At 42.2% G+C, this 17,010-nt stretch overlaps 1 long non-coding RNA gene across 5 annotated transcripts in view; it reads right to left on the bottom strand.

The window, feature by feature from the left end:
* LOC105379364 (uncharacterized) overlaps positions 1-17,010 on the bottom strand; it is a 535,736-nt gene that overhangs the window by 444,441 nt on the left and 74,285 nt on the right. The window lies entirely within an intron of this gene.

The raw sequence follows: 17,010 nt of genomic DNA, 5'->3' as shown, positions 1-17,010 counted from the left end.
CATGGTAAATCTATGGGTGCAGTGGAGAGTGGGGCAGCGCCCAGGAGTGGAATGCAAGCTACTTAGTCCTCAAATAAACCTGAGATGGTCCATGTAGCTTGATTTGGCATTTTATGGACCATCCTCTGCAAAAATCTTCAAGCTGGGTTAGGTTGTCTATTAGATGGAAAGTTGCTTGAAACCCCAAAAAAGGTAGCAGCAGGTCTGGTAGACTGCAGTAGTAGCAGGTGAGAGTACACCCCTAAGGGGCATATGTTTCTAAGCAGTCCAGGCTTCTCCACAGAGAACCGGTTGTTAGGTTTTTCATGTAGGTCCTTTGTAACACCTCTCAGTTTCCACCTAGAAAGAGCTGTGGACTGACTGCCTGACTTACTGACAGCCCAGAAGCCCTTCTTTAGGCAAACTTCCTCGAGCTCTCTTACTGAAGTCCCAACACCAGCTATTCTGAAGAAGCATTGATTTTCACAACAGAACAAACACATTCAAGATGCGTTTGTGATATTGAGCAGTAGATGCGATTGAACCACTCTAAGATCCTCCCTTTTTCTCCAACTTTAAACTCCCCCATGATGCTCGCCAAGGTGCAGCAGCTGCTATGGACAGTCTGGGGCCAGGACAAAAGGGAAAAAATTGCAAACAGCCCTCAGGCAAACCTCTCAGCAGTCTCTTTCTGCAGCTGTACTGGAAAAGCATCCATGCAGGTATTAACATGGAGAGCCCTGTTAGCTCAGTCTTGCTAACTGGGAATCTGGGGGCTCCACTTTCTTGCCCAGCTGTCATCTCCCTGCAGCGATGCCTGCTGGAGTCATATTGCTGGTCTCAGACTCTTCTTAGTTCGCTTGCAAGATTCTGCACAGCTGGGAGCAGAGCTGCAGCCTCCTTAGCACAGCTGAAGAGAACAAAAGCTTCAGGGGCTGGAAGATAATGAGCTCCCCCCTCCCTCTCACCCCCATCTTCACTGGCCCCATCCCCCTTTTCCTCTGACAAGTGGAAAATCACCCAGAAGCTTCTCTTGCCACCGGGCCTTTATTTATTTATTTCTTCACAGGGTGATGGCATTGCTTCCCTTGCTTTTCAGAAGCTAAAATGCTTTGGCAGCCAAGAATGAGAGCATTTGTCTTAATTCTGCCCTCTCGGCATGTGCCCTTGCAGAAAATGGCTTGCTGTTTCCTCTGCCGCTGCCACAGTTGTGGTGGCAAAGATAAACAGCCCATCAGTGCTGAGCTGAAAAGAAATATAGAAAAGGGGATGGGAGTAGTTTAATTACTTTGAATGGCTTTTTGTGTTCTGTGTGATTGCTTCCTATGATACAGTAGTTTCTCATTCTCCATGCAAGCTCTGTGTTTCTATTCATAAGAATAAGATTGAAGCAGGAAATTGGCTTTCAAGAGTGGGAGAGAGAGAATGAGGGGACTGAGAGGTTGGCTGTTTCAGTTAGAGGAAAGTGAGTCGTGGAGGGTTCCACATGGCTGAGCTGAACCAGGAGCTGGACCGGCTCAGGAAGGCCTGATAGCTTTCTTGTCCAGCCCTGGGGAACAGGTGTGCCTTGGTCACAGCAAAAGTGAAACTCACTGGGGCAAATCTCACAAAGCCTAGGAAGTGATCCTAGCAAGGTTGAGCAAAGTCCTCAAGCTAAGTCAACACGATTCTGGGGCTGCCCTCTTCCTACCTGAAAAAGTGGGGGTAGAGGAGAGGAGGGTAGAATAGTCTCTGTGTGTGTGTGTGTGTGTGTGTGTGTGTGTGTGTGTGTATGTGTGTGTGTGTGTGTCGGCAGTTCTTTTCCAATGTATCCATTTTAGGATAGATTCTAGATTTTAGGCTCTGGACTGAAACCCAGGAGAACACTGTTCCTTCCTTCTATACTATCCATCCTTACATACTTTTCATTTCTGTAAATTGAGAACTTACCATTCATAATAATGTCAAAGTCACCTTCATGTATGACATAACTATATGATCAAAAGACATACTACCAGGCCATTTGTCTCTAAGAATCAAGTGTTCTTATTACATCCAATCAATGTGACTGACTCCAGTTCATGCATTTTTCCATACAAATTAAATTGCCTTCTAAAATAAAAATAGCTTTAATACGCTAAAGAAGTTTGCTATTAGAGAAAGTCCAGTGATAAGTCATTGTGTAATACAAATAATATATGTGTCTGTAAATTCTAGTGGTTTGTGTTGGGTTTTCTTAAATTAGAATAAATCTGTAGTGGGGACATTTGAAATAACAACTGAGACTTACAAACCTATTCAGAAAATCAAGGGTCCATTGTGTGCAGAGTATTTCTAGACAACAGGGTGGAAGGAATTAATGGCATCTCTAGCCATGAGCTTACAAAAGAAGAGAGATAGAACCATCAGACAGATACATGGAACCTTTACACAGAGCAGGCAAGTCAAGCAGCTACATGAAGCAAGCCTGGAGATGCATTTTGCAATCTACAAAGTAACTAAAAATGATAACATCTACCATTGTTATTGCAAGATGCTCATAAATGTGGATAAAGAAGTTTGGAGAATAAATTCTTTTAGGCTCAAATGCTTCAGATGAAAATAACAGGACACCAAGCCCTGAAATAACATCTTATATACTCTAAATGCAAAAGGTGTAAATGTTTGCCTCAAATTCAAAATCCCAAACAGAACAGGCAAATGGGAAGAACATATCAAGACAGCTAAAATTGGTGGAGAATTGGAGGGGGTTCACCAGGAGAAACTTCTCTGGGACAGTGTAACCCAGAAAAATTGTGTTTCGGCTCAAGAAGAAATGTGCCTAGGAGGGTATTACAGTAAGAAGAAAGGGAGAGACACAGAAAGGAGATTTAAAAGCCATAAAACAGAACAAAATGAGACAAAACTGGGAGGAGAAATACAAGGTGGTACCAGGAAAAGCCAGCCTTCTATAGTCCTTTCCTTTTCTCTGTTTTCTGCATTCCCCTTCCTTGAGTGCTCTTGTCTTGTCATGTGGATGGTCATTTTCAAACCCCATGCATTCCTCTGGGAGGAAAGGACACCATCAAAATGATGGCACTGTCTCCTCTATGCAAAAGATAAGTCCAGAGTCAAGTATAAAGGATCAGCTACAGAGCAGGCCAACACCAGAAAGCAATGGATAGTGAAAAGAAAAGATCTAATCTTCCTCCTAGACTGATCATGATTCCTGGAGATCTACAACATTTTCAACATTCACCCTTTTTTCTTTTTTTTTTTTTTTTTTTTGAGAGAAAGGATCTTGCTCTGTTGCCTGAGGCTGGAATGCAGTGGTGTGACCATAGCTCACTATAGCTTCAAATTCCTGGGTTCAAGCAATTCTCCAGCAATGCTCCTACCTCAGCCTCCTGAGTAGCTGGGACTACAGGCACACGCCACCACACCTGGCTAATATATATGTATATATTTTTGTAGAGATGGGGTCTCACTATGTTATGTTGCCCAGGCTGGTCTCAAACTCCTGGCCTTGAGCGATCCTCCCACCTCAGCCTCCCAAAGTGCTGAGATTACAGGAGTGAGCCACCACATGCAGCCCTTACATTTACTCTTTGTTTGATTTTAATAAGAAAAGGAGAGCGGATAAAAGCATTTAAGAATTTGAAATCCTGGGGATCTCCACTGGGAATGGTATATCCAGTTTGACTGTTGTCCTTAGGGTATCAAGGCCATGGTAGTAAAACCAGAGTAGGAGGTCTTGATGCAGGGGCCATATGGTGGGTTAATGGAATTGAGAAGAGGAGCAAGTAGCAGAGAAGTCAAATGGGGACTGCCAGAAGCACAGATCATAAAGGTCACCATGGTGGACACGGTAAGCCATAGGCAGGTAGGAAGTAGCACCAAGACACTGGGTCTCTGGCAAGAGTGACCAAGAACACATTCACCAGAATGAAAGACATGATGGGGAATGAGGGAGCATTGGAGAAAGAACAGCCTACTTCGAGATTCTAATCTCAATACTTTTTGATCATGGGAACTTTCGACCACATGAGGATAACAAAAAAATAGTTAGCAGTTTGACCTTTAGCAAGTCCTTGGAAAGAATATTTATCTGAGAGTCCAGTTCCAATCCAGATCTCTTTTTAACTAGCACTGTGACCTTGGGCAAGTCACTTTACTTCTTTGAGCTTGACTTTCTTCATTCTACAATAACAGTGGCCTGTAGCATTATCTAATCCCATAACTGTTTTCCCCATTGACTTTAGGTTATTCTAGACTAGTGTAGTCTAGTCAGGTGAAGGAAACAAACATAAAGAACAGGGCCTGGATAAGAAAATCCCCAAATAGCATTCTCCTAGTGGGATATTCTGCAGCGAATGTTACACAAAACAACCAGAAGTCCAAGGTCTGGAGGTATCAGTTGCCTGTAAATGTCAAGACCAGATTGGGAATATCGTCTTAAACTACAAAAGCTTCAATAACATGAATAAGATTTTGATTTATTCTGTTTTGATTTATTCACCAAATCTCAAAATACTAGTATGAGAGGACGCCCTTTGAAACTTTATAGAGGAAGTTGTTCACCCAAAGGGTAATAAACTTACCAAATGCATTATACCAGCAGTTGGTACAGAGAGGATATAAATGTATAAATGGGTTCAAACATTGCTTGGGAAAGTTTTATGAATGGCCAAGTCATTACAAAGTCAAATATTACAGAAGAATGGAAATATTTAAGAGTGACATCTGGGAAAACAATAAGGCTGTCCCTCTTCCTTCAGGGCCTTCTAAGTCAAATCAGAAAAAATCAGCTCCATGTTCTACTGCTAAAAGTACAGTAAATCTTTGCTTTGTTAAAATAAGGGAACATCACAGTAAGGAAAGGAAGAAGAGATTGTGGATTAAGAGCTTCCAACACGTACAGCCATGATAAAAGCACTGATGTTAGGCACTTGGTTTATGCTGTGGTTTGAGTTTGTCCCCATCCACACCCATGTTGAAATTTGATTTCCAATATGGCACTGTTGAGAGGCAAGGCCTGCTGGGACATGTTTGGGTCATGGAGGCAGATCCCTCATGAATGGCTTCGAGCCATTCTTGCAGTAGTTGAGTGAGTTCTTGCTCTCACAAGACTGGATTAGTTCCTGCCGGAGTGTTCCTTCAAACGTAGGTTGTTATAAAAGCAGAATCCCCCTATGATTTTGCTTCTTTGCACATGTCTGCTTCTCATTTGACCTTCTCCCCCATGTTATGGAGCAACACAAAAGCCCTCATCAGAAGCCAAGCAGATGCTAGCACCATGCTTCTTGTACTTTCCCAGCCTGCAGAACCATGAGCTAAATAAACCTCCTTTCTTTATAAATTACCCAGCCTCAGGTATTCTGTTATAGCAACACAAAATGGACTAAGACAGTCCAGCAATGTCTTAATGTAGTCTGCTTCTATCTTTGAGAGAGGATTGTCATGTGATTAATACTAACTTGGATAATATCAATCCAGATTGTATTAGGTTTTAGCACTAAAAGAGATTCTAAGAGGGAAAACACTCGTGTTAGTCCAAATTATTATTTATTTTAGTAGTGGCTGTTGAATGCAAGCTCCATGAACTATCTCCTGCAGTTTGCCTTCATGAACTGGGGCTCATCAAACCTTTGGTGCCACTGCATAATCATCCCACACAAACCACTTGTACATAATACTTCGGCCCAATCCTACACTGCTGGAAAACAACTCAACCCTCAGTTTCTGAGATATGTGTTACAGTCTTATCTTAGGCCTCTGTAGAAGTATGTGTTCTTAGGTTGAAACATGTTAATGGGTGTTCTGCCTAGGTAAGGATTGTAGAAATGGGCTCTGAGCACATTTACTTTTCTCCTCGCATTTGTAATCAGCCTGTCATTTCATTATCTGCATTCCATGTTGGCTGTTTGGATCATTAAGCAAAACCTAGCTATCGCTGCATATTACTCAGTACGTTTGCTCTAATAAGGTTTCGTAAATAAAACCCGAAGAGATGAAAAAGGCCAGTGTCTGATTACATGCAACCAATTTGGTCTCATTAGGTTCTTATAAGGAGAAAAAGTAAATATAATCTTTATAAATCATACAGCTATAACGGAGATGCCTGGCAAAATTCATTAGTTAAGATAATAAGAGTGAAGACCATTTAATTGTGCATAACAGTTTGGTTTATGAAGCTGTTAAGTACTATTTCATCCATTGTAAACTTTTACAAAACTCACAGATAAAGATGTAATCAGGCAGAGGAAATCATATATTCTTACATGATTCCCTAAGGTTTTGGCTTAATAAACTGCTATTAAAACAATGATAAAAACTAATGCTCATCTTGAATTTTTCATTCAAAGAACCCTGAGTGACATATAAAGCATTAATTTGTTTTCCCTAGATGCCCAAAGCTTAGAAACAGTTTATTCAACCTGTTTTACAGAGGATACCATTGAGGCTCAAAGAGATAAAATTATAAGCTAAAGAAAAAACAGCAAAATTAACAAAGGAACAGAGAGGATACCCTAAGGTTATTGCTTCTGAAGTCAATGTAAAGTCAGAATTTTCATTAAAAACAAACAAATAAAAAAAGACTGGATACCTCTTTTTATTGCTTTAAGCATAATATCTTGATTTGATTCTTGGGTGGCAAGAATCAAACGTTGATTCTTTAGACTTGGGTATTGCTTCTCAACTGCAGTATTTATTTGGGAATAAAAAATGAAACAAATACCTAGAGATGGCAGAACTTGGAGTTAGACAACCTGGTTTTAGGAACTGGCTCTACTTCTCCCTCCATGACCTTGAGCAAGTCACTGAATGGACCCAGTGCCTTCCTATGTGAAACAGGGATACCAATGCTGAGAGAGGAAAGAAGATGCTTCATATTGAGGGTGGGAGAACTTTGCAAAGTTTAAGTTGCTATCCAAATATTACCTATTTTTCTTGTATTTTTTCTGTCTTTTCATTATATACTACAATGTTTTGAGAATTAGCTCCCATCTCCTAAACCTATCACTTTTTTTTCCCATACACATCATTTTAATATTGTCCATAAGGCTTTGCCTAATGGGTCAGTACAACGTTCCATCTCAGCACTGGGGAAGCTGAGGCACTCCTAAGGAGTGGTTCTTCTTCCACCACCTCAACCTCACTACCTCTAACTAGATGTCAGAATTTAATTCTCATATTTGGCCCAAGCCTGTCAACCCAGGGGAAACCAGTTTTCTGAACTGCCAGAAAGAATGAAATGGGAGAAGCAAGAGTTGGCTCTCTTCCCACGCTCCCATTTCGGTCAAGTTGCCATCTCCCCAGCACACACTGCCACTCAGCTCCTGCGGTTTTTATTTCTATTACTAACCAGTGCCTCTTCCAGAGTCCAAGACACAGACTATTCCCCAGTCTGTCTTCCAATACCACCCATCACTATGTGAATGTGAGTTATAGCAGGGAAAGGAAAAATAGGGAGGGTAGAGGGGAGGAGAATGGGGAGAAGCAAGTATCATCTCAGGCAGTTGAGCTTCAGATGAAACATCCCAGAGCTAAATTGCACATACACTGCAAAGGGCCTAAGAGAACCACTGATTTTAAACAAAACATATAAGCTTAAACAACATATAATGTCCGCTGGGTGGCATGGAGGAGGTTTGCCCAGGTAGGGTGTACAGTGCATGTTAGGAGATGGAGTGGGACAAGGAGGAAGAGGGAGTTGGATTTTATTTTTTTTCTCTTTTTCCTCCATTTTAAATAGCAGTGATGTAGCTAGCCGAAGTACAGCGCTTCTTACAATAGATACAACAGTGCCACCTACAGCTGAGAAGGGATTGTCCTTCAAGCCAGCCAGAGGCCAGGACTGAAACTGATTACTTTGCACTGCCTTAATGAAGTTTCCCCAGTTGGGGTTGGATGGCTGTTCCACTGTACAGTCTGCAGACAAGACTTGGAGTAACTGCTTGCAGAGCCCAAGGATATACGGGCTGTCTTTGCTGATGTTAGTCAGCCCACTGCAGCTCCTCTTGAACTGAGTCCCAAAACATAAAAGAAAGGATCTTCTATATGATAGCCCTCAAACTTCCCCCACCCCCATCAAAATGCAAATTTTCTTGGGTTTTCCTCCCAGTATCCTATTCTTTGCATGTTAAGATAATTCATGCAAATTTTATGCATTTTGCTCAGAGGCATCTAATTAGACAGATTAGCTCGTAGACTCAGTAACCTTCTATTTTATTCTTCTGAAAAGAAGGTTATGTCAGTTAGGAACCTCTCACTCCTAATAGGCATCAGGCACAGAGCAAGTTTGTATATGAGCAAGAGCTCACAGGTCTCTGTGTGTACACAGTACATAAACAAGTGCATTTTGTTACGTATGTTTCTGTGTGTTTGCATTTGAGGGCCTTCACATGCATTTGTATTAAAAAGTCCTGCATTGGCCAGGCACTGTGGCTCATGCCTGTAATCCCAGCACTTTGGGAGGCCGAAGCAGATGGATCACTTAGGGTCAGGAGTTCAAGACCAGCCTGGCCAACAAGACAAAACCCCATCTCCACTAAAAATACAAAAAGTAGCCGGGTAGGGTGGTGGCACGTGCCTGTAGTCCCAGCTACTCAGGAGGCTGAGGCAGGAGAATCGCTTGAACCTGGGAGGCAGATGCTGCAATGTGCTGAGATTAAGCCACTGCACTCCAGCACTCCAGCCTGAGCAACAGAGCAAGACTCTGTCTAAAAAAAAAAAAAAAAAAAAAAAATTCCTGCATTGGTTCATAAGCACCAGTGCAATCAAAGTGCACTTTTCCATAAGAAAAAGGGAAATAAAAGGTTGGCTCACAAAGGTCCAAGAAGTAGGAATATCGGACTGGCATAAGAGCTGAACAAAGGAAATTAAAGAGAAAAAACACATATATATTTCCTCCTTTGTTCTGAAAGTGGATTTTGATTCTTGTTGGCATGCCACCAGTATGCAATTCAGAAAGAAAGAAAACTCACTTATAAGGGAAAGATAAACTAGAGACGTGATGCTAACAAGCTCTCAAATTGACTAAAGCATTGTGGGTTGCCATGGAAAGAGATCTTTTAAACTGTGAGGGTCATTATTCCCTGCCTCGAAAAATCCACCAGGTGTGCCAGCCTAAGATCTAATTAGACAAGCAAGATTCCTCAGAGCAGCAGCTGGGATGACTTCCTGATACTTTCTCTTCCTTGAAGAGTCTGCCAATTCCCAAGAGTCTTCCAGATGTGTGTTTAATCAACCACTGCATAAAGCTCCCTGCAATCGACACCACCTCTCCCAGCATGCAGGAGTCAGTAAAGCTTTTAGGTCAGAGGGCACAAACTCAAACACCTGCCTGTGTCATTTGATTGAGGCCAGTTAGGATGGTCACAAGCTGAAGAGCTCTTGCCTGTTTAAAAAGAACAGCCATTACTCAGTGCCAGCCAGTTGCTGCCTTGAGGAAATGCAGACCCTCTATTGTTAGATTTTCTTCAAGAGCAGCCAGAATCCAAATGTGTCTGTGAAAACTCCTGATTTTTAAATGTTGGCAGCAAGTCAGAAAAATGGAAAACCTTGTGCTAGGCCAAATAAATCTTGGCCAGTGGCCTAATTTGACCTGGAAAATGCCACGGCAGCCCCTGATTTGGGTCATTCGCAGCCCTAGAAAATCTATATTCAAACCATGCCCAAGTATTCTGCCTCCACTGCTTACTTAGGGAAGAAACTTTCACATTTTCGTGCCTTTTTTCATTCTGTTTCACCTGCCTGGGTTGCTCTTTCCTTCCATCTCTGCCTGTCAAAATCCAATATCAAGGGCCAACTCAAATGTCAATTTATTTGTGAAGTCTGCCAGAATCACTGCAGTCAAAATTAATCACTCCAGTAATGCTACGTTTTTATCTCTATTCTTGAATTTAGCAGTCTGCCTCCTAGTAGGGGTAAGCAGTGTTGATGTAAGTCCCAGTTGTGAGCCCTTGAGAATTAGTAATGTGTCAAATACATATGCTCTCTCTTTGTCCAGTGCCCAGCACAGAGCCTGTGTTGACAGTTGGTTTGAATTTAGATGGGCAAGACACTAAATGAGAAATAGTGCATGCAGCTCATTGGCATGACTCATGGCAGTTCAAAAACAATTCAATCCCAGCCTTACATGAACATGCCAGGCGATCAGATGACAATACGGTACTGTGCTTCCAAAATCAGGTCTACATAATGGTGATTAAATCAATGGGTATTTGCTAAGATTAGTATCTCTGCCAGACCTCATGGATCTAGTAAGTAAAACTAGATTGTTATTATTATGATGCTATAACTTGACTTCCTAAAAAACAGGAAGTTTTTTCATGTTTTATCCTATGTGCCCATCACACTTCTGACACAGTGAAAGATTTCAGTAAAACATTTGTGATGTTTAGTCATGATTATCAAAACAAGTCTATAATGAGCACCTAACTCCATCCAAAGAACAGCACACTCTGCGGTGGTTACATGGTGCAGTAATCTCGGGGAGTTGAAATCTAGCTGAAAAGCAAAACATATTTATGTGAAAAAAAAATAGTTGCACTATCAGTGCATGGTGAATTCCAGAAGGTACTATGGAGTTCCAGTCAAGTGGCATGCCCTCTGCTCACTTCTGGGGATTCACAAAGAATAAGAAGCAGTGCCCACCCTCAGGGAGACCTAGTATCCTCTATGGGAGTTGGAAATAGAAAAATCACTGTGGGCTGAACACTCAGAAAAAGTGAGATATGAAATCACAGGAAGGAGGAATCTAGTCAGGTCTAGATGGAAACCAATGATCTATTGTTTTAACATTAGAGTTATTTCCCTAGGAAAGAAAAAATAGGGGGAGGATACTGAATAATTTTTGCTAAAGGGAAAATATTCGAAAATGTTGCTGCTCCTAGGTGACAGCAGCCCCTGTGAGATCTAGGGATCTAAAAACCCCTAAACCTCAACCATGGGATCACATCCACATTAAGAACGATACAGAAGCTGCCAGGAAGTAGAGAGTCAGAGGGTGGTGAGGTCTGAGAGAGGAAGGAGAGCTCTCCCTGGACAGATGCCCTGGAGATGCTCACAGCTCTTATTACTCTGGGGGACGCCGGTGCTGAATGGAATAAAGACAGTGAGATGAACCCCTTGCCACACCCTGGCATCCTCATGCTCCTGGCCTCTGGTCTCCCAAACAATGCTTCCTATAGAAACTCCCAATGCTGTCATGGATCACCTCTGTCTACCCAAAAGCCTCAAAACCCATTGGTGAAGCTAGGCATGGTGGCTCAAGCCTATATTCTCACCACTTTGGGAGGCCAATGCAGGCAGATCACTTGAGTTCAGGAGTTTGAGGCCATCCTGGGTAACATGGCAAAACCCTGTCTCCACAAAAAATACAAAATTGGCCAGGCCTGGTGGTGCATGCCTGTAGTCCCAGCTACTAGGGAGGCTGAAGTGGGAGGATGGCTTGAGTCCAGGATATCGAGGCTGCAGTGAGCCGTGATTGCACTAGTGGACTTCAAGCTGGGCTGAAGTTTTCTTTTGAGACCCTATCTCTAAAAAACAAGCAAATAAACAAACAAAAACATGAGTGAAGCTTCCCTGTTTTGGGTAGAGAGAGGATAACAGCCATGATCACTGTTTACACTTTCCTTTGCCCAAAGTGAAATTGGGCAGAGAAAGTCTTAACAAAAAGAAAAGAATGGTCCTAGTTTTAGGATAAGCCTTTCCCTTTTAAGTGGAAAAGCTGATGTCATGAAATCTGTTGTGACCACCTTGCCCACCAAGCAGAACAATCCACCCATGATATGTGTCAGTTTATAATTTATAGTTGACCCATAAAATGGAGGACATCTAGGGAAAGAAATAAAAAATAGAGAGGAAAAGAAGGAGGGAGGAAAGGAAAAGATCAGTCTGACAGGGAATTAAAACAAGAAGGGTTTATTGAGATAATGTGAGTTAAGTCTGGAGTTTAAGATCAGGGGTTGCCAGAGATAAGCACAGGAAGATGAGGAAAAGAAGAAAAAAATTAAAGAGAATCAAAACTCTGCTTCTCAAGCCCATGCTCTGCCAATAATTTATTCTTTAGAAATAAAAAAGGCAGACAGATCAGAAGATGGGAGAAAATCAACACAAAAGTGGAGGTGTCAACCTGAGCAGATTTCAAACTGAAACAAAGAATTTATATGATTAGCTGCAGTTACATAGAGATGTATAAACATCTTGGGCAAAACGATACCAAGCAAAACTCTAGCACTTCATGGTGCCGTATGTGTAGTTTAGTCTTTTGATATCTATTTTATATTCTGCCAGCAAAAATTTTGTCATATCTTATGTGTTTTGCCAAGTTCTTTATTTGGGATTCTTCCTGATTTAAATATTTTTAGCTGCAGTGGTTTTTTAATCATGAGGGTATTGTTTCAAAAGGAATTATTTTATATGCATCCAAAAGCAAAATTGAAGACCAATTCAAATTCATCTGAGATCATCCTATAAGTGCAGGACACTATGGAAAAACACAGAAAGCTGACCTTGAGAACTGTCATATGAAGGGATCTCAGATTTCTGTTACAAAAACACAGTTAGTGGGTGGCCTTTGCTGATGCCTCCCGATGATGTTGATTGAAGATGGCAAATTGCAACTTCATCTGTGTTCATCAGAAAATAAGGCCCATTCACTCTTCCCACCCTGAAATCCAGCCCCTTTGCAATTAGCCAGCTTTCTCAGTGGCCTACAATTTGGATAAGAGGAGCATGAATGCATGACTTTCTAGAAAGAAATATAATGTCTTGCCATGTCATTGTTTCTCTAAGGAAGCAGTACCACCCTTGATTTGGGGCTTAATGGCTCAGAACTAGCACCTGGAAGAAAAAAGAATTAAAACTTCAAGACAGATGTAATTCAGAACTTTCCCTTGGTGGGTATCTTCCTCTCAAGCTCTGTCTGTAAGGGCGGGGAAGGGGGCAAATGCATCTGTTCATGGAGATAGTTGCTAATGGGTAATTTTCTGCTTGTCCCCAAGCCCTACAGTCCTTTACCCCCCAAAACATTATGTAGAAAGAGAGAGTCAAGCTCAATATGGCAAGAGAAACATAAACACAACTGTTAGGCAATAGAGCAGCACCCCCTAAAGGCTTGGCTGTAGGGACACCTTGGTTTTTCAAACCTACATACAGACATTGGGTTGCTTCATTCCTCATATATTTAAGTTGATCCAATAAAGGCATTGTTCAGAGTGGAAATGTGTAGTACGACCAATGCAGTCCTTTTTTACAGCTAACCAATTATGGGCTAAAAGAACAATGCGAAGTCTCTTTTCCAATTGTTCGTAGGAGTGTGTTCATTCCAAGCCATTACCGCATGTGTCTGTCAGAGGGAATCTCTGCATCAGGCTGTAATGAGTCACATTAGCTTTTTTTCCGCAACAAAGCATTACATGGCCTGGCTCTATGACAGCTCAGAGATTATGGTTCAGGGAGCAGCTTTAAATCTAGCTCTCTTTCTTTCTAGAAAATCCAACGAGGCTGCAGTTATCAGGGCAGCTCTTAAAACCACAGGCAAGGAAGGAGGAAGAGTCTATCAGCACTTTGGGAGGCCAACGCAGGTGGATCACTTGAGCTCAGGAGTTCGAGACCAGCCTGGGCAACATGATAAAACCCTGTCTCTACAAAAAAATACAAAATTAGTCAGGCCTGGTGGTGCATACCTGTAGTCCCAGCTACTAAGGAGGCTGAAGTGGTTCTAGGGACGCAGCTCTAGAAGGATGTAGACAGGCACTGCTGCCTGCAGAAGGAGAGAAGTTCCTGAGAGACAGTTGCCTCAAGGAAAGTGTGTAGTACCATGGGGAGGCAACAAACAGGGAAGCCCAGGGTCTCAACCTACCACATCTCTCTCCAACATTTATTGTCGCCCTGCCTTAGAGTCAAGCAGCAAGCCTTTCCCTAACAAAATACATCATTCGCATTTTGCTGTTCCCTCTTGGGTCACTTTCTGTCTGCCTCTCCAGATCCAGACTCTTCCATTCTCTTCCAGGTTCTTATCCTGATAGCCTGACCTGGATGGTTTCATCCATTTCCCAAGATGGTAGCTTCCTGATTGGGCTCCTGGGTTCATAGGGAAAGAGGGATGAAGCCAGGCAAAAAATCAGAGCAATGGAGCAATGAAGGTGTTTGCTTGTCCTGGCTCCTTCCCTCTGCTCCTTTAGGCTGGTTCTGCCCCCAGCCTGAAGGGCACTGTTCTTTGGAGGTGGCTTCCTCCACACTGGGCTTACTGCTCCTAGGGACCCTTCTTTCCCACTCAATCCTAAGGATCTAATAATAATATCCTATCCTCTCCCCTCACCGCTCCTGCTCCACGTTACTGCACTAATACTTGTAAATAAATCATCCTGTTTAGAGGACACCATCTGTTTCCTGTTGGGACCCTGACTGAAATTCTCTTTTCCTCCTTCTACCTCCTTAGAGATTAGAAAACTAAACCTCAGAGAAGTCAAATTTCTACTTTTCTTTAGATTTACAGCTAAAAAGTAGCAGAATCAGGATCTAAACCCAAGCAGCCTTGTTCCAGAAACTTTTCTTAGAGCCCCTGAACTATGCTGCCTCAATAACACATGAGACTAGAAATGCAATTTTGCTTCTCTGCACCCATCAAAATCCTCCCCATCCCATTCAGTAGGAGTAAAGCTGCCCTCCTCCATGACCTTCTCCTTGACCACTCCAGCTCCATCATTAGTTCATTCCCGTGGAGCATAGTGTCTGTGCCACCCCCAGTACACATACCAAATGCTACTTCATCCTATCCTTTAATTATCCATGTACATATTCTTGTTTCTCCAATGGATAGAAAACCTCCAGTAAGACAGACATCGTGGCTTCCATGTAACCCCCATTGTCCTTAGCCTACAGTAAATACGGTGGCCTGAGTTAGTCAGCAGAACAATGATTGAGAAGGAATTTCCATGGCTATATTATCTGTCAAAAAAAGCAATTGCCCCAGTAATTCATGGATTGTTCTTAAATTTAGATTTTTTAAAAAATGAGCAGTGGAGGCCAGGCATGGTGGCTCACACCTGTAATCCCAGCACCTTGGGAGTCCAAGGTGGGTGAATCACCTGAGGTCAGAAGTTTGAGACCAGCCTGGCCAACATGGTGAAATTCCATTTCTACTAAAATTACAAAAATTAGCCAGGCATGGTGGTGGGCCCCTGTAGTCCCAGCTTGGGAGGCTGAGACAGGAGAATTGCTTGAACCCTGGAGGCGGAGGTTGCAGTGAGCCGAGATTGCGCCACTGCACTCCAGCCTGGGCTACAGAGCGAGACTCTGTCTGAAAAAAAAAAAAAAAAAGTGAGCAGTGGAAGAGAAAAGTGACAGATGCTAAACAAGTAACAGTCACCTGGAAGCAATGACAGGTGGCCCTCAGTATCCATGGTTCCACATCCATGGATTCAGCCAACTATGAGTTGAAAATATTTGAAAAATAATAATAATTAAAACTAACAATACAACAATCAAAATAATACAAGTGAAAAAATACAGAATAACAACTGTTTACATAGCATATACATTGTAATAGGTATTATAAGTTATCTAGACATGATTTACAGTATACAAGAAGATGTGTGTAGGTTATATGCAAACACTATACCATTTTATATCAGACACTTGAGCATCTGTGGATTTTGGTATTCACGGGTGTCCTGGAATCAATCTCCTGACAATACTGAGAGACGACTGTATTTATAATCTCAGAATTGCTTATGGGGAAGCTACAATAAAAGTTGATATTGAATACAACTGTAGTATTTGCATATGCTTCTCGAAGTTTGTGTTGTTGGTCATTTTTCACCTCCTTTTTAACAAGCAGAAATGCAGAGTTTCAGAATGGCTGCTACATATATTAACATAAGTAGACTTATGATGTAGTGAAGAACGCTGCTATGATGTCCTAGCCTGTGCCCTTAACAAGAAGAATAGAACTGTTACTAGCTATGTACTTTCTCCCACTGGAATCTCTTCAAAAAAAAATTACAGAGACAACTATAGAACATTTCCTTTACCAGCAAAGCTTGCTCAAGATTCCTGTAAAACTCTCATACTGTGTTAGCAGTTGCTGAAGAACAACCAGTACAACTCAATGGCTAGAAGAGAACTTCTAGAGCTTAATTGCTTGGGTTCATATCCTGGCTCTTCTACTTGTCAGCTATAAGTCTTGGAAAACTTAGTAATGTAATCTATCTGGGGCTCAGTTTTCTCATCTGTAAGATGGGGATACTAATAGTACTTACCTGCCTCATGTTGTGAGGATTAAATGAAGTAAGCACAAGCGTCTAGGAAAGGGCTCGATATTTACATAGCACTCAGTGTTACTTATTATTGCTGAATAAGCAACCGGCATGTGATGATTACGAACCCTGAGGACTGCTGCTAGGACTTCCTAACACCTAGAAGTTTCCAGGAAAGACAAAGTAATGCTCTCTAGTGTTTATAAAGACTGTGCCTGAAGGTATTAGAAAGCTCCACAGGCCTGGTCCCATTCTTGTGAACAGCATGCTGCCAAAGTTTTGTTGTGTTGTTGTTGTTGTTGTTTTAAGTCTTGGTCTCCCTCTGTTGCCCAGGCTGGAGTGCAGTGGCATGATCTCAGCTCACTGCAACCTCCGCTTCCTGGGTTCAAGCGATTCTCCTACCTCGGCCTCCCAAGTAGCTGGGATTACAGGCGTCTGCCACCACACCCAGCTAATTTTTTTGTATTTTTAGTAGAGACAGGGTTTCACCATGTTGGCCAGGCTGGTCTTGAACTCCTGACCTCAAATGATCCACCCACCTCAGCCTCCCAAAGTGCTGGGATTACAGGCATGAGCCACCACTCCTGGCCTGCCAAAGTATTTTCATGCATAATTGGGAGAAGGCCTGAAGAGGATCTTTCCAGTGTATTATACTATTTTACAACCAGGGAAACTGAGGCATCAAAGGCATAGGGAGACTAATTTATACATGAATATTTACGTGGCTCCCAAAATGTGCCCAGTTGTGTATGCAAACCAGTGGTGGATGCAAATAAACTATAGGCTAACCATCTAATGTGACCCA

This window comes from Homo sapiens, chromosome 8 (genome assembly GCF_000001405.40).
Source record: "Homo sapiens chromosome 8, GRCh38.p14 Primary Assembly".
NCBI lineage: Eukaryota > Metazoa > Chordata > Mammalia > Primates > Hominidae > Homo > Homo sapiens.
The sequence above is the reverse complement of the archived record's forward strand: the minus strand, read 5'-3'. Positions and strand labels throughout refer to the sequence as shown.